The sequence below is a fragment of the Homo sapiens genome, chromosome 4 (genome assembly GCF_000001405.40).
Source record: "Homo sapiens chromosome 4, GRCh38.p14 Primary Assembly".
NCBI lineage: Eukaryota > Metazoa > Chordata > Mammalia > Primates > Hominidae > Homo > Homo sapiens.
Window position 1 is genome coordinate 89033799 of NC_000004.12, and position 23758 is coordinate 89057556.

General features: G+C 38.5%; 1 protein-coding gene across 9 annotated transcripts in view, besides 1 other annotated feature; it reads right to left on the minus strand.

Annotated features, from left to right (window-relative positions):
- Nucleotides 1-23387, minus strand: part of FAM13A (family with sequence similarity 13 member A) — a 331226-nt gene extending 307839 nt beyond the window's left edge. For 6 of the 9 annotated variants that reach the window (XM_047449482.1, XM_047449480.1, XM_011531517.3 and 3 more), the window contains exon 1: nt 23140-23387. In XM_047449482.1, coding sequence (XP_047305438.1) covers nt 23140-23166 — 27 coding nt within the window. In that variant the 5' untranslated portion in view covers nt 23167-23387. The remainder of the gene's footprint in view (nt 1-23139) is intronic. The other 3 variants (XM_047449481.1, XM_047449479.1, XM_011531516.2) reach the window with 1 other exon arrangement.
- Nucleotides 22688-23250: an enhancer, noted in NCBI's record as "H3K27ac hESC enhancer chr4:89977637-89978199 (GRCh37/hg19 assembly coordinates)". NCBI's record gives its function as "activates a minimal SCP1, AML or CMV promoter by ChIP-STARR-seq in naive H9 embryonic stem cells {active_cell/tissue: H9 hESC(naive)}" and the evidence as "EXISTENCE:reporter gene assay evidence [ECO:0000049][PMID:30033119]".
- Nucleotides 23388-23758: the final 371 nt, after the last annotated feature.

Sequence of the window (23758 nt, forward strand, 5' to 3'; positions counted from 1 at the left end):
AAATTAATGTCTCTCAAAAATAAACAAGGGGAAAGGGTCCCCATTCAATAAATGGTGCTGGGAAAACTGGCTAACCATATGCAGAATAATGAAACTGGACCCCTACCTTTCACCATATACAAAAATTAACTCAAAATGAATTAAAGACTTAAGTGTAAGACTTCAAACTATAAAAATCCTGTAAGAAACCCTAGGAAATATCCTTGCGAACATCAGGCTAGGCAAAAAATTTATGACTGAGTCTTCAAAAGCAAATGCAACAAAGCCAAAATATAACAATTTGGGACCTAATTAAACTAAAGAGCTTCTGCACAGCAAAAGAAACTATCAACAGAGTAAACAGACAGCCTACAGAATGGGAGGAAATATTTGCAAACTATGCATCCAAGAAAGGACTAATATCTAGAATCTATAAGGAACTTACACCAGTCAACAAGAATAAAATAAATAACCCCATTAAAAATGAGCAGAGGACAAGAACAGACACTTCCTAAGACATATAAGCAGCCAACAAACATGAAAAGATGCTCAACATCACTCACCATTAGAGAAACACAAATCAAAACCACAATGAGATCTCACTCACACCAGTCAGAATGGCTATAATTAAAAAGTCAAAAAACAACAGATGTTGTCAGGGTTGCAGAGAAAAGGGTACATTTATATGCTGTTGGTAAGAATGTAAATTAGTTTATCCCCTGTGAAAAGCAGTTTAGAGATTTCTCAAAGAACTAAAAATAGAACTACCATTTAACCCAGAGATCCTATTACTGGGTAGTATACATCAAAGGAAAATAAATCAGCTGGGCACGGTGGCTCATGCCTGTAATCTCAGCACTTTGGGAGGCCAAGGCAGGTGGATCACCTGAGGTCAGGAGTTTGAGGCCAGCCTGGCCAACATGGCGAAACCCCATCTCTACTAAAAATACAAAAATTAGCCAGGTGTGGTGGTGGGTGCCTGTAATCCCAGCCACTCGGGAGGCTGAGGCAGGAGAATCACTTGAACCTGGGAGGCGGAGGTTGCAGTGAGCTGAGTTCATATCACTGCACTCCAGCCTGGGTGACAGAGTGAGACTGTCTGAAAAGAAAAAAGAAAGCAAATCATCCTAACAAAAAGATATATGTGCTCATATGTTTATTGCAACACTGTTCATAATATCAAAGACATGGAATGAATTTGGGTGCCCATGAGTGGCAGAATAGATAAAGAAAATATGGTACACATAAACCATGGAATACAACGCAGCCATAAAAAAGAATGAAATCATGTCCTCTGGACATGGATGCAGCTGGAGGCCAGTATCCTAAGCAAACTAATGCAGAAACAGAAAACCAAATACAGCATGTTCTCACATATAGTGGGAGCGAAACACTGGGTACAGAAAAAGGGAGGAGAGAGGGAGAGGGAAAAGGGCTGAAAAAGTTCCTATTGGGTATTATGTTCACTATTTGGGTGACAGAATCAATAGAAGCCCAAACCTCAGCATCACGTAATATACCCTTGTAACAAACCTGCACATGCACCCTGAATCTAAAATTTAAAAGACAAAAAATAAAAAATTAATGTGTCTAAGTCTCAAAATCACCTTATCACTATGTACTCTTAGCTACTTCCATTGGGATAAGAAAATTAAAGCACAAGAACAACAAAAAGGAAAGAAAGAAAGAAAAGAAAAGAAAGGAAGGAAGGAGGGGAGGGGAGGGAAGGGAAAAAAAGAAAAAGGATAATTGAGGTGCCAAGAAAAGAAAATTGCCTAAGTTTACATGGTGATATGGTTTACATTTGTGTCCCTGCCCCAATCTCATGTGGAATTGTAATCTCCAATGTTAGAGGAAGGGCTGGGTGGGAGGTGATTGGATCATGGGGGAGGATTTCTCCCTTGCTGTTCTTGTGATAGTGAGTGAGTCCTCACAAGATCGGGTTGTTTAAAAGTATGTAGCACCTCCTCCTTTCCTCTCTTCCTCTTTCTCTGGCCATGTAAAACATGCTTATTTTTCCTTTGCCTTCACCATAAGTGTAAGTTTCCTGAGGTCTCCCAAGCCTTGTATCCTGTACAGCCTGCAGAACTGTGAGCCTTTTAAACATCTTTTCTTTATAAATTATCCAGTCTCAGGTAAGGACATGAGATTTGTGAAGGGCCAGGTACAGAATGATATAATTTGGATTTGAGTCACAACCCACATTTACAGCAATGTGAGAACAGACTAATACAGCAAATGTGGTACCTAGGAGTGGGCATTGCTATAAAGATACCTCAAAATGTGAAAGCAGCTTTGGAAGTGGGTAATGTTCAGCGGTTGGAACAGTTTGGAGGGCACAGAAGAAAAAAGATGAAGGAAAGTTTGGAACTTTCTAGAAACTTGTTGAATGGTTGTGATCAAAATGCTGATAGTGATGTGGACAATGAAGTCCAGGCTGAGGAGGTCTCAGATGGAGATGAGGAACTTATTGAGAACTGGAGTAAAGGTTACTCTTGTTATGCTTTAGCAAAGGAAGTGGCAGCATTTTGCCCCTTCTCTAGGGATGTGTGAAACTTTGAACTTAAGAGAGATGATTTAGGGTATCAGGAGGAAGAAGTTTCAAAGCAGCAAACCACTCGAGATTTGACCTGGCTGCTTCTAACAGTGTATGGTCATATGCATGAGCAAAGAGATTATCTGAAACTTGAACTTATATTCATTAATAAAAGGAAAACAGAGCATAAAAGTTTAGAAAATTTGCAGCCTGATCATATTGTAGAAAATAAAATTCCATTTTCTAGGGAGGAATTCAAGCCAGCTGCAGAAATTTGCAGCTGAACATTCAGAGGAACTGAATGTTAATAGCCAAGACAATGGGGAAAATGTCTCAAAGGCATTTCAGAGATCTTCACAGCAGCCCCTCCCATCACAGGGCTGGAGGCCTAGGAGGGAAGAATGGTTTCCTGGGCCAGGCCCAGGGTCCTGTTGCTCTGCTCAGCCGCAGGACACTGGTCCCTGTGTCCCAATCACTCCAGCTCCAGCCATGGCTAAAATGGCCCAAGATACGTCTCAGGCCACTGCTCCAGAGGGTACAGGCCATAAGCCTTGGTGGCTGCCACATATTAAGCCTATGGGTGCACAGAGGGCAAAAGTTGAGGCTTAGGAACCTCCACCTAGATTTCAGAGGATGTATTGAAACTCCTGAATGTCCAGGCAGCAGTCTGCTGCAGGGGTGGAGCCCTCATGGAGAACCTCTACTAGGGCAATGCAGAGGGGAAATGTGAGATTGGAGCCCCCATACAAGAGTCCCCACTGGGACACTGCCTAGTGGAGCTGAGAGAAGAGGACCACCATCTTCCAAGACCCAGAATGGTAGATCCACTGACAGCTTGCATCATGTGCCTGGAAAAGCTGTAAGCAATCAATGCTATCCCAGGAAAGCAACTGAGGTGCTGTACCCTATAGAGCCATAAGGGCAGAGATGCCCAAGTCCTTGGGAGCCCACACCTTGCATCAGGGTGGCCTGGATGTGAAACAAGGAGTGAAAGAAGATTATTTTTGAGCTCTAAGATTTAATGACTGCCCTGCTGGGTTTCAAACTTGCACAGGGCTTGTAGCCCCTTTGTTTTGGCTGATTTCTGCCTTTTGAAATGGATGTATTTACCTAACACCTGTACCCCATTTTATCTTGGAAGAAACTAACTTGGTAAAAAAAACAACAACTTGGTTTTGATTTTACAGAAGGGACTTGCCTTGTCTCAGATGTGACTTTGGACTGGACTTTTGAGTTAATGCTGAAATGAATTAAGACTCGGGGGACTGCTGAGAAGGAATGATTGTATTTTGCAATGTTAGAAGGACATGAGATTTAAGAAGGGCCAGGGACAGAATGATATAATTTGGATTTGAGTCACCACCCATGTCTCATCTTGAATTGTAATCCCCAGTGTTGGAGAAGGGGCCTGGTGGGAGGTAATTAGACTGGGGGGTGGATGGTAATAGTGAGTCAGTTCTCACAAGATCTGGTTGTTTAAAAGTGTGTAGCACCTCCCTCTTTCCTCTCTTCCTCCTCTTCTGGCCATGTAAGATGAACCTGCTTCCCCTTCGCCTACCACTATGGTTGTAAGTTTCCTCAGGCCTCCCCAGCCACAATTCCTTACAGCCTGTGGAACCAGGAGACAATTAAACCTCTTTTCTTTATAAAGCACCCAGTCTCAGGTAGTTCTTTATAGCAATGTGAGAACAGACTAATACACATGGCTGGTAAGGTTTAGAGCCAGAACATAACCCCAGATCCTTAAGGCTCCAGTGCTTGAGCTTTTAATGATGACACACTATGGTATTGCCAGAACCTTTAATATTGGCAGCTCTGCGAGGGCCCAAGGGGGCCAACATTACCTGTATGCAGCTCTGTTTAACTTAATATAAAATCCAATTTTAGACTACTGAAATCAATGGCCTGTATTTCCTTATGGTGATCCTTCACAAATTTAAAGCCCATATATTTAAAGTACTTTGAAAGATAATCAGATTACATTGCTGGTTAAATTCAGAACCATGTGCTCCAAGACTCTTTGGAACTGGAGCTAGGGTTAATAAATCTAACAAGGAATGTATAAGATAGAAAGCCACCCCATCACCAAATAAAAGTAGTGCAAGGAAAGTGCAAGGTGATCCTGAGACATCTCACTCCAGAAAGCAATAAAAAAAAAATGCTCAAGGCCTAATGGGACACGTCCACAAGACCTATGGGCCACTGTAATGGAACACCGCTGGGCAAATTTAGGACAGTTAGATCACCAAAAGTAACCACTGTAAATAATAACATATTTAGTTAACCTAAATTTTTTATTAATACATATAACCTATGTATTAACATATTTAATACACTAATAACATAGTGTATTAAAAATCTCTGAATCTGTAATAAGTGACAGAAAGGGGTAAAAAAGTTAAGGCCTTCTTTACAGAAGAATGCTGCAGTTAAATGTAGAATGAATGACAATTAGAAAACCACCATTTTTTCTCACAAATCACTTAATAATGTAAGCAAGGATAATCAGCAGCTGCCAAAATATCAACTGAAAGGTTGTTGGAGAATATGATTTTCATAGTGTCAAAAAGATTACCTCACAGATTATATACTCATTGCAAAGAAAAAATTCACTATTGCAATTATATCTGGCTATAATCACCTTAACTTGTTACCCAAAAGATACAATTTATCATTACTAATCATGAGAGTACTTCTCATCATGTGCTCCTGATGTGATGCATTATAAAGAATACATAATTTATCAAGTATTCTTGCTAAAAACCTTTAAGGTGATGCTCACTAGCTTGTAAACCTAACTTCTAGTTTACAGTAAATACAAAAGCTAGAAGAAAAAGTTAAAAGAGACTGTGAAAAAAAGAAACAAATCCAGAAGGAGAGACATTCTAACACAGTATCAGCCTGGACTTTTCAAAACATCAATGTCATGAGGGAAAGACTGGTTCTAGATTTCAAGTAAGTTAAAATATACAACCTTCAAATGTAATATATGAATCTTGATTGTTTCCCCATTTATTAAAGAAAAACATGGATACATGTCATCATGCATTTTACCAAATTCACACAATGCATAACACAAACAGGGAAACCTAATGTAAAGTATGAGATCTACTTAATAATAATGTATCAATATTGGCTCATCAATTACAACAAATGTGCCACACCAATGCAAGATGATAATAGTAGAAGAAACTGGGAAGTAAGGACAAAGAATTATGTGGGAACTTTGTACTTCCTAGTCATTTTCTGTAAATGTAAAACTGCTCAAAAAAATGTCTACTCATTTTTAAAAGCAAAATTAGGCCAGGTGTGGTGGCTCATGCCTGTAATGCTAGCACTTTGGGAGGCCGAGGCAGAAGGATCACTTGAGGCAAGGAGTTTGAGACCTCTATATAAGCATAACTGACATCAAAAAAAGGGGTGAGAGTTGTTCAAGACCAGCCTGGGCAACAAAGTGAGATCCCATCTCTACCAAAAAAAATTTTTTTTAATTATCTGGGCATGATGGCTAATCCTCCCACCACAGCTTCTCAGGAGGCTGTGGCAGAAAGATCACTTGAGCCCAGGAGTTTGAAGCTGCAGTGAGCTACGATCACACCACTGAACTCCAGCTCGGGTGACAGAGCAAGACACTGTCTCTTTAAAAAAAAAAAAGCAAAAATAAAAACAGCCAATTGTCTCATCAGGACAACTGGGAAAATGTGAAAATGTATTGGATATTAGACAGTGTAACTTTAAATATTTTAGGTATAATACCATATCATAACATCATGTAAGAACTAATTTATTCCAGCTACAGTATTCCTTATCCTTATGAGGTGCATGCTGCAACAGGGATGCAATGTAATGATGTCTTCAAATACTAAAATATTTCAAACACAAAGTGTCTACGCCTGTATATGTATTGTATATATGCAAATATATACAAACATACAAAGAGACAGAGGGAATGAGTACAAATATCACGGAATGCTGACTTTTAAATCTAAGTGGGCAGTATACAGAGTGCCCTTTCAACTTTTATGAATGCTTGATATTTTTCATTAATAATAAATTTGGAAAAAATAGGAATCCCTCAAAGAGACTCCCAGCTAACAAAGAGTTATACCTCATACCAATTTTTTGACAGCATAAGAGGAAAAGGAACATGTTCTTTCCAAATTGCAATTTAAAAATTAACAATAACAATTGGAGGATTACTATTTTATAGAGACATAGACAATCATACTAGCTTGGATAAGGTTGGCATCATTGGGAAAGGACTAGATCTGAAATTAGGGAACTTGAGTTTGAATCTTGGTTTTGCCATTGACTGGTATAGTCTCACTGGGAATGTCAGCCTTTTTGGTGAATGTGCAGCTTTGGAAAAGAGCAAACCCAACAATAAAGAAGGATGACCCATGCGGTCTGTGATGATTAATATTGAGTGTCAACTTGACTGGATTGAAGGATGCAAAGTATTGTTCCTGAGTGTGTCTGTGGGGGTGTTGCCAAAGGAGATTAACATTTGAGTCAGTGGACTGGGAGAGGCAGACCCACCCTCAGTCTGGGTGGGCACCATCTAATCAGCTGCCAGCAGAGGAACACGGAAGGACTAGACTGGCTGAGTCTTCTGCCCTCCACCTCTCTCCCATTCTGGATGCTTCCTGCCCTTGAACATCAGACTTCAAGTTCTTCAGCTTTTGGACCCTTGGTCTTACACCAGACCCACTCTTGGACCCCTGGATTTTCCAGGAGCTCTCAGGCCTTCAGCCACCTACTTAAAAGTGTTATGAGTGTGAGTATAAGGGAGATAAAGAGAGGTGTTAATGAGTACAAACATACAGTTAGAAAGAAGGAATACATTCTAATGATTGATAGCAGAGTAGGATGACTACAGTTAACAAGTATTGTGTATTTCAAAACAGCTAGAAGAAAGGACTTGAAATGTTCCCAACACATAGAAATGATAAATACTTGAGGTGATCAAGTCAAATACCTTGACTTGATCATTACACAGCCAATGCATTTAATAAAATATCACATGTACCTCATAAATATGTACAAACATTATGTATCAACAAAAATTGTTATGAGAGTTTAATTAACCCATTTATGCCGAAGGTTGCAAATTTTTCTTGCTAAAAATCAGACCTGGATGATGACTTTAAGCAGTAGGATATAAATAACTCCCACAAGCTTAGCGTTCCAATAATGGAACACTAGGCATAAATGGGTTAAATAATGTATGTAAAAGCATTTCTCACACAGTAAGAGAGTTAATGCTGAAAACATTGATTAAAAATTTCTTTGTGGTGACCAATTCTTTAAAAGGATACTGTGGCAGGCCGGGCACGGTGGCTCATGCCTGTAATCTCAGCACTTTGGGAAGCCGAGGGGGATGGATCACTTGAGCCCAGGAGTTCGAGACCAGCCTGGCCAACATGGTGAAAGTCCTTCTCTACTAAAAATACAAAAATTAGCCGGTTGTGGTGGTGGCACCTGTAATCCCAGCTACTCCAGAGGCTGAGGCACAAGAATTGCTTGAACCTGGGCAGTAGAGGTTGCAGTGAGCCGAGATCATGCCACTGCACTCCAGCCTGGGTGACAGAGCAAGACTCTGCCTCAAAAAAAAAAAGAAAATAATACTGTGGCAGAGTTTGCAGTTGCCTGTTGATGGGTGTTTCTCTTCCTTAGTAAGAGAACTCTGATTCTGTTTGCGCTGGTAGGGAACAAAGTGCTCGGTTAAAACGTACCCAGCCTTCATTGCAGCACATCTTTGATGGACATATGTATATGTTTGATGAACAAGATGTAAATAGACGTTGCTGGGACCATCAGAAAAACTCCTTAACAGGGGAGCAATACAGTCTTTTCCCCATGTCCCTGTTTTCTGCCTAGATCACAGATACAATGACCAATAGCCATGCTGTAATTAAGCAGCAACCCAGAAGCTAAGCTCTAAGTACAGTAAAATAGAAAAAAAGGACTTGTAGCCTGATGACATAATAGAGGCACATGTCCACCTTGGAATAGCTAGCTATGGACTTATTTTATGTGAGAATCCCCAAATAGTGCTCTGTCAGAAAGTCAATTATTTACTGAATACGTTGTTAAATCAAGGAAATCTGAAGCCGTCTAAAAATCAATTTTCTAAATCTAGTATATTAATTTGAAAAACTCAAAGCAGTTCGTAGATATCTTATTCGTTACCCTTACAGAAACATTTCATAGCATATAGGGTTATTTATGTGCATTGTAGATCCAAGACAATAGCTCTTAACTTAGAATCCATGAATCATGAGACCCTGAAAGTACATAAAATATAATTGTTCTAGAAATCATATTCTCAAAGAGGTCTATGATCTGAAAAATAAAGACCCAACAATCTTTAAACATTCACAGAAAAGTAAAGTTTAAGAAAAGATTTTTAAAAGATAATCCATTTAAATTTCTCTTTATGTTTTTTTCTATTTAGCCCATTGATTTCTTTATCCAAAAAATTATTTAAAATTGCTTAAATCGCCTTATAGCTCACAAATTAAGTTCAACTAATTTATTCAAATTAGACTAAAAACATTCTATTAAAAAAGACTCTATGTACTTAGTACTGTTGAAATGTTCAAGAACCTATTAAAGACAAATCCAATAAAAATGTTGTGTTATCACTTCTTCTGAAACCACACAGATGAAGACGATGAAGTAACAGAAAAGCTATAAACTCTGATTTGCATATGTGATGCCAAAGGTGAGGATGATGTGGAAAGCTTACGGCAGACATCATATCAGCACTGGGGCAGGAGTCTAGAAAGGACCAGCAGTGGAAAGCTTTCAAACTCTCCTACAAATACTTACCACCTGAAAGATAGAGCACACTGTCAGAAGGAGCTGAACAAGACTCAGCTGATTAGAGAAGAGGCGGGAGAAGGTACAGAAAATACCTACAGGCACACCAAGGTGGCAGATATCAGGAAGCATTAGAAAAATACACTAACTAAGAGTGAGTGTATCACCTTGGGAGGCAAGTTTATGAAGAAAAGACAACAGAGCTCTCTTGACCCAGGCCAGCTTCTGAGAGGCAAAGGAGAGATGGGCAAACAGAGGGGCTGTATTAAGAAAACAGTCATTTTTGTAGCAATAGAGGGGGGAATCTCCTGAGCTGTGAAACCTGAAAGGCTACTTTGGCCCATTATTACTATACCCCATAGGAAACTCTTGCTACTAACCTGCAAAAATTCATCTTACTCAGGATGAGTAGGAAAAAAGGATCATGGACAGCATTTATATAGAAACAGTATTTTTTTAAGTATAAAAAAGCATCACAATCTTCCTACAACAACTCATCAGAAAAATGCTGCCAAGAAGCAGACGGAAACTATAAACTAACAAAAAGAACAAAATTTTAATAAGGATGTGACAATAGAAGCACAGACAACAACAACAAAAAGATAAATTGAACATCAAAACTAAAAATGTTTGTGCATCAAAAGACACCATGGCCAGGAGCAGTGGCTCATGCCTGTAATCCCAACACTTTGAGAGACTGAGGCAGGAGGATTGCTTGAGTCCAGAAGTTCAAGACAGTCTGGGCAACACAGCAAGACCCTGTCTCTACAAAATACAATCAATCAATCAATCAATCAATAAGCAAGCCAGCAAGCTGGGCATGGTGGCACACACCTAGAGTCCCAGCTACTCAGGAGGCTGAGGTGGATGGACTGCTTGAGTCCAGGAGGTCAAGGTTACAGTGAGCCATGATCTCACCACTGCACTCCAGCCTTGGCAACAAAGTGAGACCATATCAAAAAAAAAGACACTAACAACAGAGTGAAAAGACACAACACATAGAATAGAATCCTATAGAATAGGGGAAAATATTTGCAATTCATATATCTGAATACATATTCAAAATATGTAAAGAATTGCAACAATTCAACAACAAAAAATAGCCCAGTTCGAAAATGAACAAAGGACGTGTATAATCATTTTTCCAAATAAGACATAATGTGGCTAATTAGCACATTAAAAGATGCTCAACATCACTGGTCTTTAGGGAAGTGAGAATCAAAACCACAATGAGATATCGCTTCACACCAATTAAGATGGCTATTATAAAAATGAAAGAAAGAAAATAACAAGTATTGGTTAAGAGGTGGAAAAGTTGTAACCCCTGTGCATCATCAGTGGAAATATAAAGTAGAACAGCCAAAGTGGGAAACAACTAAATGGTTCCTCAAAAAGTTAAACATAGATTTACTATATTATCCAATGATTCCCCTTCTGGGTACATACTCTGAAAGCAGGGACTCAAACAAACATTTGTTCAACGATGTTCATAGCAGCATTATTCACGACAGCCAAAAAGTAGAAACAATCTAAATTGTTTCGCAACAGATGAAAGGATAAATACAAGGTAGAATATACATAAAATGGAATATTATTCAGGCTTGAAAAGGAATGAACTTCTGACACATGCTACAAGATGGATGAACCCTGAAAGCATTATGCAAAGTGAATAAACCAAACACAAAAAGACAAAAATTGTCTAGTTCCACTAATACGAGATACCTAGGCTAGGCAAATGTATAGAGACAGAGGGAAGGACAATGGCTACCAGGGGCTGGGAGGTGGGAGAAATAGGAAGTTATTGTTTTATGGTTATAAAGTTTATGTTGGAGGTGATAAAAAGTTCTTGAAATGGATAGTGGTAGTGATGCACAACATTGTGAATATGCTTAATCTTACAGAATTATATATCTAAAATGGTTAAAATAGTAAATTTTATGTTATGTATATTTTATCACAATAAAAAAAGTTAAAGAATTGATCACAATGATGAAAGAACACAAATCAGAAATAAAAAAATTCAGGAAAGAGGTGATCAGATAATAGGAGAATGTGAAGTGGAGACTGGTGGAACTCAGGAAATGGGGAAAAGGAAAAGGAAAAAACATTTCAGAAGTGAAGACTGAATTATAAGAACACAAAGAAGAACAGAAACTGTTCACCTCAGTAAGGGGCAGAGAGGAAATGAGGAAAGTAGATATAATGAAACATTTTTAGAAATCACAATGATTTCAGAGCTACAGAAAGCAGCTAACTGATGCCACTTTATGCCCCATTTCCACTCTTTGGAATCCCCAATGAAGAAAATCAAACAATGGAATAGAATATTTAAAGACATAATTCACAAAATCTTTGTTTAAATAAAAGTGCTTTGAGTTTACATATTGAAAGGCACATCACAACCCGGAACAGTCCACACAAAGATATATTATAAGGAAATTATTAGACTAACAATAAAGAATCTTTTGCACAGCCAAGCAAAAATCATGCACTATGTAATAAAAGAAAAATAAGAGTGGCCTCAAATTTATAGATTGCAATATTTGACCTTGGCAGAGTATAAAAGGCTTACAAAATATTTATGGAAAGAAAGTATGAGCCAAGGCAGGGCGTGGTGGCTCATGCCTGTAATCCTAGCACTTTGGGAGGCCAAAGCGGGCAGATTACCTGAGGTTGGGAGTTTGAGACCAGTCTGACCAACATGGAGAAACCCCGTCTCTACTAATAGTACAAAAATTAGCTGGGCATGGTGACGCATGCCTGTAATCCCAGCTACTCGGGAGGCTGAGGCACAAGAATCCCTTGAACCTGGGAGGCGGAGGTTGCAGTGAGCCAAGATTGCGCCATCGCACTCCAGCCTGGGCAACAAGAGCGAAACTCCATCTCAAAAAAAAAAAAAAAGAAAAAATAAAAAAAATTATGAGCCATATTTAATAATCAGCCAAGCTGTCCTTCAACTATAAAAGCTACAATTTGAACAGACAAAGGCTAAGAGAATACTGCACACCTGAACCTTCCTTGTCCAAACTACCAGAGAACAAATTTTAACCAATTAATTAATGACTGGGAAAGTTTGATGAAAAGACCAGCAAAAAAATTAAAAATAAAATAAAAGTATAACCATGTAATATGAAGAAGAAATGAAAAACCTGGAACAGTTATACTCAAAAGAGAAGATTTGAGGTTGGAACATATTCAGGTTTTAAAAGAGCTGCCACGTGGTTCAGACGGTAGGAGAAAGTAAATGGCAGTTACATGGAGACACGTTTTAAGACATATAAAGAAGAAATAACAGTCACTTCTATTGATGGAATAGATTTTCTCAGAAGGTAGTGAAATTCCTAGTAATCGAAGACGGGCAAAAATCATAATGTGATACCATTTGTTATCCATTCTACTAATAGAAATTTTTTAAAAAAAGAAAAGAGTGGCCGGGCACAGTAGCTCATGCCTGTAATCCTAGTGCTTTGGGAGGCCAAGACAGGCAGACTGCTTGAGCCCAGGAGTGCAAGACCAGCCTGGGCAATATAGCAAAACCTCTTTTCTGCAAAAAAATACAAAAATTAGCCGGGTGTAGAGGCATGTGCCTATAATCCCAGGTACTCAGGAGGCTGAGGTGGGAGGATCACTTGAGCCAAGGAAGTTGAGGCTGCAGTGAGCCATGCTCACACCACTGCACTCCAGTCTGGGTGACAAAGTGAGGCCCTATCTCGAAAAGAAAAGAAAAGTAACTCAAAGAGTTGAGTAAAAACCAAAGAGTAATAAAAATAAATTTTTTTAAGTAAAAAAAAAGAAAGAAAAAAGAGAAACGGATGTTGGAAAGAAGTATAGGTGGGATCTAAAGTGGCTCAAATTTCTGGAAGGCAATTTGGCAGTGCCCAGCAAAAGCTGGAGCTTCTTCATAGGTCATTCTCTCTCCAACCAGGCTCCGAACACAGGGGAAGGGCAAGTAACAGTGAGCAGGACTCATATCTTATACAAAGGGACTGCCAGATATTTGGAATATACTGTTATCGGGGGTGGGGTGGAGAGAAGGCTATAAAACTCATGTCAAGCATAATCTGTTTTTATAAGTCTATATGATCACAGAAAAACTTTAGAAGGACATACACAAATATATTAAGTGGTTTTTTTTGGGGGGGTTGTCAAATCTTGAATAATGCTTATTTTCTCCTCTTAAGTTACCTGCAGTTCCTCATTTTATACTCCAGACACGTGTTACTATCACAACAAGAAAATTAAAGGTTATTATAAACAGTTAAATTCTCTATATAAACACAAGTCAAGACCTATTGCTGAATTCCATGATGGTAGAGTGAAGAGGTCTGCAAATACTCTCCTAAAAAAATGTATAAAACCAGACCAAACAAAAAAAGTTTCAGGGCTCTAGAAATTGATCAGAGATATAAAAATTACATTGAGAAACATTTATTCATGAATGGGAGATGAAGTGTACTTAAGAATAGTGGGAGTTTGCAGCACTCTTGCCTATTCCCAACCCCTCCATGCCCTAGGCTGGGTTGGCACAGTAGTGTTACTACAGGGGGAACCAGCGGTGAAAACTAGCGGCTTTGGTGATTTGGAAGAGAGGACAAAAACCCCACACCCAGTGGATCATGTATCTAATAAAGGACTTGTATCCAGAACATAAAGAACTTTTATAATTCAATAAAACCAAAATGACACAACTAAGAAACAGGCAAAAAATATGAAAACACATTTAGCCAAAGAAGATATACAATGGCTAATATGCATATGAAAATATGCCCAATATCATTACTCATGAAGAAATTGAGATAGCACTACTAACTCACTACAATGGTTATAAGAAAAAAACTAACAATACTATATGTTGGCAAGGATATAGAGAAACTAGAACCCTCATTCATCACTGGTGAGAACATAAAATGGTACAACCACTTTGGAAAAAGTTGGCAGTTTCTTAAAATGTTAAATGCAAAATTACCACACAACCCGATAATTCTACTCCTAGGTACCTACCCAAAAGAAATGAAAATCCATATCCACAGAAAGACTTGATTTGTATATTAATGTTCCTAGCAGCATTATTGATAATAATCAAAATCAGAAACAACCCAAGGATCTATCAGTGAATGAATAAAATGTGATATATCATAAACAGAATATTATTTAACAATAAAAATGATATGCTAATACATGCTACAACATGAATGAACCTCAAAAATATTATGCTAAGTGAAAAAAGCTGATCACAAGAGAACATATAAGTTCCATTTATATCAAATGTCCTGAAAAGGCAAACGTATAGTGACATAAAGCAAATTAGTGGTTGTCCTGTGGGGGTGGGGAGGGATGGTGGGAATGTTCTAGAAATGGATTTTGGTGATGCTTGCACAATTGGTCAATTTACTAAAAGTCATTAAACTGTACAGTTTTAATGAGTATACATTATGGTATGTAAGTTATACCTCAAAAGAGCTGTTGATAAAACAGAAAAGAAAGTCAACAAGTGCTTGGTAACTTCCCGTCAAAATAAGACTACTGTCGGTAGAAATAATATATTAATATTAAAATTTTTTAAAGATTCCATATTCCTCAGTCTAATAACATATTATTGCTTTTCAATAATTCTAGATGAAATAGATAACTTTTGAAGTGGGTCACTTTTAAGTGATTACTACTGCTACACTAATGTACAAAAAACCTGGAAGCACAGAAACATTTGTACACTTAGAATCCTTTGGTTATTTGGAAAAAGGTGGAAAGCTATTAATGTCACTATTTTACATCTTTTGTTCATCATTTTTGGCAGTTTTAACAAAGACAAAGAAGATTTAAACAGAAAAGAACCATATTGTAGGAGGTCACTATGAATTAAATCTGAAAAAATGTTCTTGGAAAGATTATTCTTGCCATCATTTCTCAACACATTTACTGGAATGTAAAGTTAAAAACAGAATAGTGTTTTGAATTTTTATAAAATTACAAAGACTTGGGCTGGGTGCAGTGGCTCATGCCTATAATTCCAGTGCTTTGGGAGGGCGAGGTGGGAGGATTGCTTGAGCCCAGGGGTTTGAGGCTGTAGTGAGCTATGATCTCACTACTGCACTCCAGCCTGGGCGAAAAAGCAGGACCCTAACTCAAAAAAAAAAAATTACCAAGACACATTGAAAGTTAATGACCTTAATGCAGTAGGAGAATTACAGCGTTACAGTGTTAAGTGAAGACTCACTTGTTTATATATAGTTTCAGAAAAGTCAAATGTGCTGAAAACTAGGCCTACGTGATTTCTTTACAGTGTAAACCACAGGAAAAAAAACCTGTGACATCATTTCTTTACATTTTAACTAAAACTTCTTTCCTAAACATTAAAGAAATATTTGGAATTTAACCACAAAAGTAAATTAATTGCTTATTATAAGGCAACTTTATATCAAAATTCTCTTTCAACAACTGTTTTTCTTTAGCATATAATTTTCATTGCCACTGTCTACATTTTTCATAGAATAAAACATTTGACTGAGTTCTATTGTATTACTATTTTGTTTTGTTTTGAGATGGAGTCTTGCACTGTTGCCCAGGCTGGAGTGCAGTGGTGCATCTCAGCTCACTGCAACCTCCACCTCCCAGGTTCAAGTGATTCTCCTTGCCTCAGCTTCCCAAGTAGCTGGACTTACAGGCACCTGCCACCATGCCCAGCCAAGATAAAATGTTTTACAGTCATGTCCTTGGTCTTCCAATGACTTATCTAAAAATAAAATACACTTAGGTGAAACTTCTAAATCTAGAGAATGGGATTCTGTTTTGAGCAACATTAATTTAACAACTACTACTGTCTAGCCCAGAGCAAGAGGCAAGAAATACAAATAAGATACGATCTTTTCTGTCTAAACTTTATAGTCTGCTACTGAGAAAGACAAATAGTACAGGGAAGTTGAACAGATGGTCAGATATTACCTAAAATCTATCAAGACAGCACCACACTGCTTACTAATGACTAGGATCAGAGTGTAGTCAGTGACGAAAACCAGGACTTGCCAGGTATGGAAGTCTCCAAACAAAACTCATGTCCTTTCTTTCCTCTTCTCTTTTTTTTTCTTTTTTTGAGGCAGAGTCTCACAAGCTCTGTCACCCATGCTGGAGTGCAGTGGTATGATCTCTGCAACCCTGCCCCTGGGTTCAAGAGATCCGCATGCATCAGCTTCCTGAGAAGCTGGGATCACAGGTGTGTGCCACCACTCCCAGCTAATTTTTTTTGTATTTGTAGTAGAGATGGGGTTTTGTCATGTTGGCCACATTGGTCTTGAACTCCTGGCCTTAAGTGATCCACCTGCATTGGCATCCCAAAGTGCTGGGATTACAGGTGTGAGCCACTGTGCCTGGACAAAACTCATGTTCTTTCTAAAACTCCAAATAAAAAACAGCTTTTTTTTTACAAAAATCAAGAAATTAATCTTGGTATTTAGAAAACCTAACTGTAGTCTGCGTGGGATGAATCTGATACCAAACATCAAACTAGAACTAAAGCCAGGTATGGTGGCTCACACCTGTAATCCTAGCACTTTGGGAGGCCAAGGCGGGTGGATCACCTGAGGTCAGGAGTTCAAGACTAGCCTGGCCAACATGGTGAAACCCTGTCTCTACTAAAAATACAAAAATCAGCTGGGTGTGGTGGTGGGTGCCTGTAATCCCAGCTACACAGGAGGCTGAAGCAGGAGAATTGTTCGAACTCAGGAGGCGGAGGTTAGAGTGAGCTGAGATAATACTACTGCTCTCCAGCCTGGGCAACAGAGCAAGACTTCTATCTCCAAAAAAAAAGAACTACAAAGATAACCATCATGGTCTTGAAACTTGAACTTATGCAATATTTGTCTGTTGTACTACCTAAGAAAATTTGATTCTACTAAATAGAGAACAAGAGAAACAATGAGGAGGACAGATACAACTACATATGGGTAATATGCAAGGAAGTAGCTTAACAGACTGTCTTAATCTGTTCAGACTGCTACAACAAAAAATACCATAAACTGGATGTGCTTATAAATGAAAGAAATTTATTTCTCACAGTTCTAGAGGCTGTGAAGTCCAAGATCCAAGACACCTACAGATTCAGTGTCTAATGAGGGCTGGCTTTCTGGTTCCACAAATGGCTATCTTTTTGCTGTTTCTTTACATGGCAGAGGGGTCAAATAATTCTCTGGGGTCTCTTTTATAGGGGTAATAGTCCCATTCATGAGGGCATCACATTCATGACCTAATCGCCTCCCAAAGTCCTCAATTCCAAATATCATCACATTGGAGAATAGGTTTCAACATGTGAATTTTGGAGGTACAAACATTTACTCTATGGCATTCCACCTCTGTTCCTCCAAAATTCGTATCCTTTTCGCATGCAAAATACATTCATTCCATCTCAACAGTCCCTAAAATCTTAACTCACTCCAGCATCAACTCAAAAGTCTAACATCCAAAGTCTCATCTAAATATCATCTAAATCAACTATGGGTAAGACTCAAGGTACAATTCATACTGAGGCAAACTCCTCTCTAGCTGTGAGCCTGTGAAATCAAACCAGTTACGTGCTTCCAAAATACAAAGGTGGGTCAGGCATAGGATAAACACTCCCATTCAAGAAAGGGAAATAGAAAAGAAGAAAGGAATGGCAGGTCCTGAAAAAAATCCAAAACCCAATGGAACAAAATTTCATTAGATCTTAAGGCTCAAGAATAATCCTTTTTGGCTCAATCTCTGACCTTCAGGCCACTGGGACCTGCCTCCACATCTTTGCTGGGCAGAGGTTGAGCCCCTAAGTCTCTAGGTGCTCCTGCCCCCATGGCTTTGGTGGGTTGGTCCTGCAGCAACTCTCTGCCTAAATCTCACACTGTGGCTCCGTGAAATGTTGGTCCCATCCTTGAAATCTATGTAGAGGCAGCCAGGCTACTATGTCTCATGCACTCTGGGCACCGGCAGAGACAGCTCTATGTGGTCACTAAAGTTTGCTGCCTGTACCCTTTGGAAGGGCAGCCACCCTGCTTCACTGAGCCTTTTGGAGTCACAATGGGGCAGCTATAAAGTGTGGCACTAGAGTGTGGGAGCTGAGCCTAAGATGTAAGGAGGTTCTGGGCAGCGCTTTCTTTTTTTTTTTTCTTTTTTCTTTTTTCTTTTATTTTATTTTACTTTACTTTATTTTATTTTATTATTATTATACTTTAAGTTTTAGGGTACATGTGCACAATGTGCAGGTTAGTTACATATGTATACATGTGTCATGCTGGTGTGCTGCACCCATTAACTCATCATTTAGCATTAGGTATATCTCCTAAAGCTATCCCTCCCCCCTCCCCCCACCCCCTGGGTAGCACTTTCTGAAGTCCCACAAGCACCAGGCACAGTAGTCCCTCCTTTGAAACTACTCTTCCTTCAAGGAACTTGCACTCTGGGCCTGGGATGAGAGTAATAGCTCTGAGGATTTTTAAACTGCCTTTGGGGTAATTCTTCCGTTATCTTGGAGAATACCTCCTGGCTTCTGTTGACATGGCTGATACATATTAATTTCCTTATAAAACAATGGCTTGGCCACACTTTTAGTGTTCCCCACCTAGAACTCTCTCTCCCCACTGGCTATCTTATTTTTAATAGTATCGATAGGCTGAGAATTTTCCAAATCTTTAAGTTCTGCTTCCTTTCTGATTAACAACTCCATCTTTAGGTCATTTATCCCTTCTCACATATGTACAAAGAACCATATGCCAGTCAGGAGAAACCAAGGGGGAGGAAACTGCTTAAACTATAATCTCATCAAATAACCGTGAAAAATTAACCATCAGAAAAGAGACTAAAAGTTGTCACCATATCCACACTGACTTTTCATCTATTCTTCTGAGTAAACTATAAGCAGTTAAACAGTTACAAGCAGTGAGGAGAAACCAAGCCACCATTTCAGCACTTTACTTAGAAATTGCTTCAGTTAAATATCCAATTTCATTGCTCACAAGTTCTTCCTTCCACAAAATACTAGAACACAAACACAATTCAGTCAAATTCTTCACCACTTTATAACAAAAAATCATGTTTCCTCCAGTTTCCAACAACATGTTCCTCATTTCCATCTGTGACCTCATCAGAATGGTGTTTGCCATACATCTTTCCATGAACTGATAATTACCATGATCAGGAAAGGCTGATGTGGCACAGAAGGCAAGAGCAACAGGACATTTGAACGTTAAATAACACAGAATTCAGGGAGTGTGGTCCTTTCTTCCCACTTAAGCCCTGTCAAAGAAGATAAACCTAACCTCATCCTTTTCCTCTTTCTTCTTGCTGTGATTTAAGTTGATTCAATAAATCCCATGAATGGCATATTTTAATTTGGTATATGACCTTTCTGTAACGCGACTGTACGTTCCTGCTTGCGCTATGGGATACATGGAAGGTAGTTGATGGTACCAGGCGGTAAGACTACAGAAGCAGAGGTCCCCAAGTTAGAGAGAAAGGCTACGAGGCCTGGGGCATTCTTGAAATTATCAGCACCAGCATGAACTGGGGACAAATCAGGTGGGGTGGACTGTTAGGCACTGATATTACCAAGAGAACCAATTCACAAATTGACCAGTCATAGATTTGAGACCTAAATTCACCAGAAATCATAATATCCAGAGTATAAGAATCTACACATGCATTTCAACTCCTCCTTCTTCATCCACTAGAATATGCAAACTCCCACTTTCAGCCCACCAATCTTTAATATATCCTGATGCCACATTGGATAGAACAGCAGGAGAAGCAGAAAATCTGACTCAGGATTCACCTGAGAGAAACAGAATCATCCAAAAGTGACATTTAAAATTAGAAGAGACTAAAATAACATGAACTGGCAACTGTAATTCCCTACACCACCTCAGAATAGGTGGTTTACTGAAAATAAAATAGATTTGTTACAGTAAAGCAGCTAAATTTTCTTTGTACACATGATTGGCAATACATTTTTGAGCCTACAACAGTATCATGAGCAGCAAAATTTCTTAACACTAACAACATGGCAAAGAGTTTAAAAAAGAAAAGAAATGAGGAAGATAAAGTAGGTTAGTCAATGGACATAGAAACTGAGTTTATTGGAACCAATTTGTGTCCCACTTCAAGAGTCCACACACACATACAGACACACAAAGATACACACAGACACACACACACACACACACGTACGTACTACAGATATCTAGTACTCATTATACTGTCTGAAGTATTAATGTCTTCAGCAGCAGGATATTTCAGTAGTTGCTACATATATGTATAAGTATGTAAGTCCTAAATGTTGGGGTTCAAAAAGCTATACCCCAAAATATGGTGCTTTGGCATGCTGGGTATTTTTAATTAAAATGTCTCAGAAATAAGCCTCAGAACCAAGGTCTCTCTCTGCCTTTCCACTCTCCTGCCCTCCCTCAGTCTCTCTTTTTCTTTCCTAAAGCACTGAGAGTGACTCTCTCTGGAATTTCCTTATCTGATTAAGGAAGCTTCTTTCCAAAAGAAATGCAATTGTCTTAAGATCTACTTCCTGAGAATCTCATCAAATAACCATGAAAAATTAACCATCAGAAAAGAGACTAAAAGCTGTCACCATATCCACACTGACTTTTCATCTATTCTTCTGAGGACAGCTCCAAGAGATTGGCTGGGAGACTTTATCTGCATAAAAACACAACCTTCATTCCACCCCTCACCTTTCCACCACCTCACCATAGCTCAGGGAAACGCTGTCCCAGGCCATGCTCTTTGAACCCATTCATTCACTTTAAAAATTATTTACTACCTCTCTAAAATTACCTGCAGCTCCCTACTTCTCTCTTCCCCAAAAAGAAGGCATTTAAGCTTCAACCACCTGGCCCTTCTTTGAATCTCATATTTGAGGGGCTCTCATATCCATATACATATTAATAAATTTGTAACTCTTTTTCTCCTATTAATCTATTGCCAATTGTTTCAATAAAATTGCAGAAAGGGCAGAGGAAAAGCTTTCTCTTCACTCCTACACAAAGTAAAAAGTAGTGTATCAGCTCATTGAATGTATTAATGTGTGACTTAGTTCTCCCTTTTTTGTCACGATGTTTAAAATTTTTTTTGTTGTTCTCCAAAAGCTATCTTTTTCCAGATATGCTATGGTACAACTGTTGAAAATGTATTTCCTCCTACAGTAAAACCAAGACAGCACAATCAAAGGCCAACCTTAAGGAGAAGGGTAGAAATGATTGAGAATTACTCATCTACCAGAGTGAATAATCTCTTACACTGTGTGATTTTTATGTCAACTTTAACTGAAATTTTATACATGCTTTGGATATAAATTAAGGGAAAATATAAAGTTTTATACATGAGTCAGTGTGCATTCCAGTCAAGGTAGAGATCAATATATTGCAGGTCAAGGGAAAGAAGTAAAGATCTAATCAGACAATCAGAGATGACTACCAATCTTCATGACCTATCTGCTGCCTCATTCTACACATTTTCAGTTCTGTATTGTTTCTTTTATAAAGCTAGAAAAATAGAAGGGCCACCTCTGCAGTAAAGTAAAAGTCAGTATTTTACACATAGATAAATCAGATTTTGAAGGAAACTCTTTGGGGTGATAAAAAAAGAATAACCACATGGATACCTGGATGCTACTAAGCCTCAGAGTTAAAAGGAAGACAGAGTGACATACATGGTGCTGAAAAGTTTTGAGCCTGGAAACAAGGTCATCCTGCAGTTTCACTAAGAAAACTTAATCTATAGGGCTGGTCTACCATTTGGTGACCATTTGGTGACCATTTGGTGTCTGTGTGTCAAAAATTGCTCAGATATTTCTAAACACTTCAGAATGCCATCAGAAGCTACAGCAAATTGCAGCTCTTTCTGAAACACACACAAAAAAAGAGGATCTGGCCTGAGTGTGATTTTTTAAGTGAGCAGTTAAGGTGATAATAAGGAAGAAGATATTTCTCATTTAATACATTCTAGAAAATAAAATGTCCCTATGGAATACAATAGCAACTTGAAACATAAATATGTGTAATTCTCATACAGATATATGCATTTTCTATATAGTACAATCAAAATTTAAATTACAGCATTCTGCAAATTATATAATTGACAATTTTTGATTATTACAAAAGGTTTTGTACAAGCACCAGCAGAATAATTTAGAAATTCATAAATTCTAAAAATTCTAAAACTCCAGAAATATGCACATTTTCCCAAGGATTTTATTTCAGTGTTATTTATTAATGCTACTGTGTTATAACAACCATTCATTTCTACAGTTTAAGGATACACAAACATTTATCAACTGAGCTTCTCCACCATCACTTTCAGCAATCATGCTGAAACAGAAACTCCAGAATTACTAAACGAAAATAGAAATATAAAACAGAAAAATGTCACACACATACTCAAAAGTAATAAATTAATGGTTACTTCAATTCCTCCTCAAGCTAGCCACAAGATTTCTCTAATAGCTATAATGAAGCATTCATGTTTAACTATTCAGGGACAAGAAAGTCTAAAATGCTTGAAAGTGCTCTACTTTAAATCAAGTTGACTTAACGGAATAAATCAGCATGCATCTTTCACCTTTTTTGGAAACTAAAGTGCACAAATATGCTGAATGCCATCCCAAATCCTGCCTAATACCCATTTAAGTAGATAGGAATTTAAGTAACAAATCTTTCCCCACCTCCTGGGAAGGAAAAATAAGTTACACAAACATCTCATCAAAACAAGGAAGGCAAGGCCCTCTCCTAAAAACTGGCAGTAAACACAGAAGACAGAAGAAGGCCTATACTTACACAGATGGCTAGAGCTCCTGCCCCCATTCTCTCAGAAAGCGTCTGGAAGAACTGAGGAAGACCAGACGAAAATATTAAAACGACAGCAAAATACTAAAATTCCATTCAGCACATATTCTTTGATGTGAAAAACAGCTCCCAATGCAAAGGCCCCAAGGTAAGCGAAGAGCAGCTTCTAACATTTTAGGAAGAGTGGTTTTGCTTCTCTTTCCGCTGAACCCACATGGCTGGAAGGACTGCCTGGAGTTGAAATTTGATCCACAGCCTCAGTGCTGGCAAGTAGAGGGAGTCACGTGACACGGGTCTTAAGTCGCTGACATCTTTTTTTCAAACCTGACTCCCTAGATCCTACACACAGGCTTCTTTGACTCCGAAAACTGCCAGTCACCTGGTGGCTTTCATTAATAGAACCAACAGTGCATAAAGTGAAAACACAGACTTGCTTCCCAGATTCCACACAGCTCTAAGCAAAATGTACGTATTCAGACTCAGGTTTAAAACTGCAGGCACATTATTCATTTTTTCTGAGGCAGTTTTCTCTTCTACTCTTCCTTAGAAACCAGCTAAATTCTACCAAAATTTTCTTCCTTCCATGCTACCCCATCAGAATTGTTTTAAA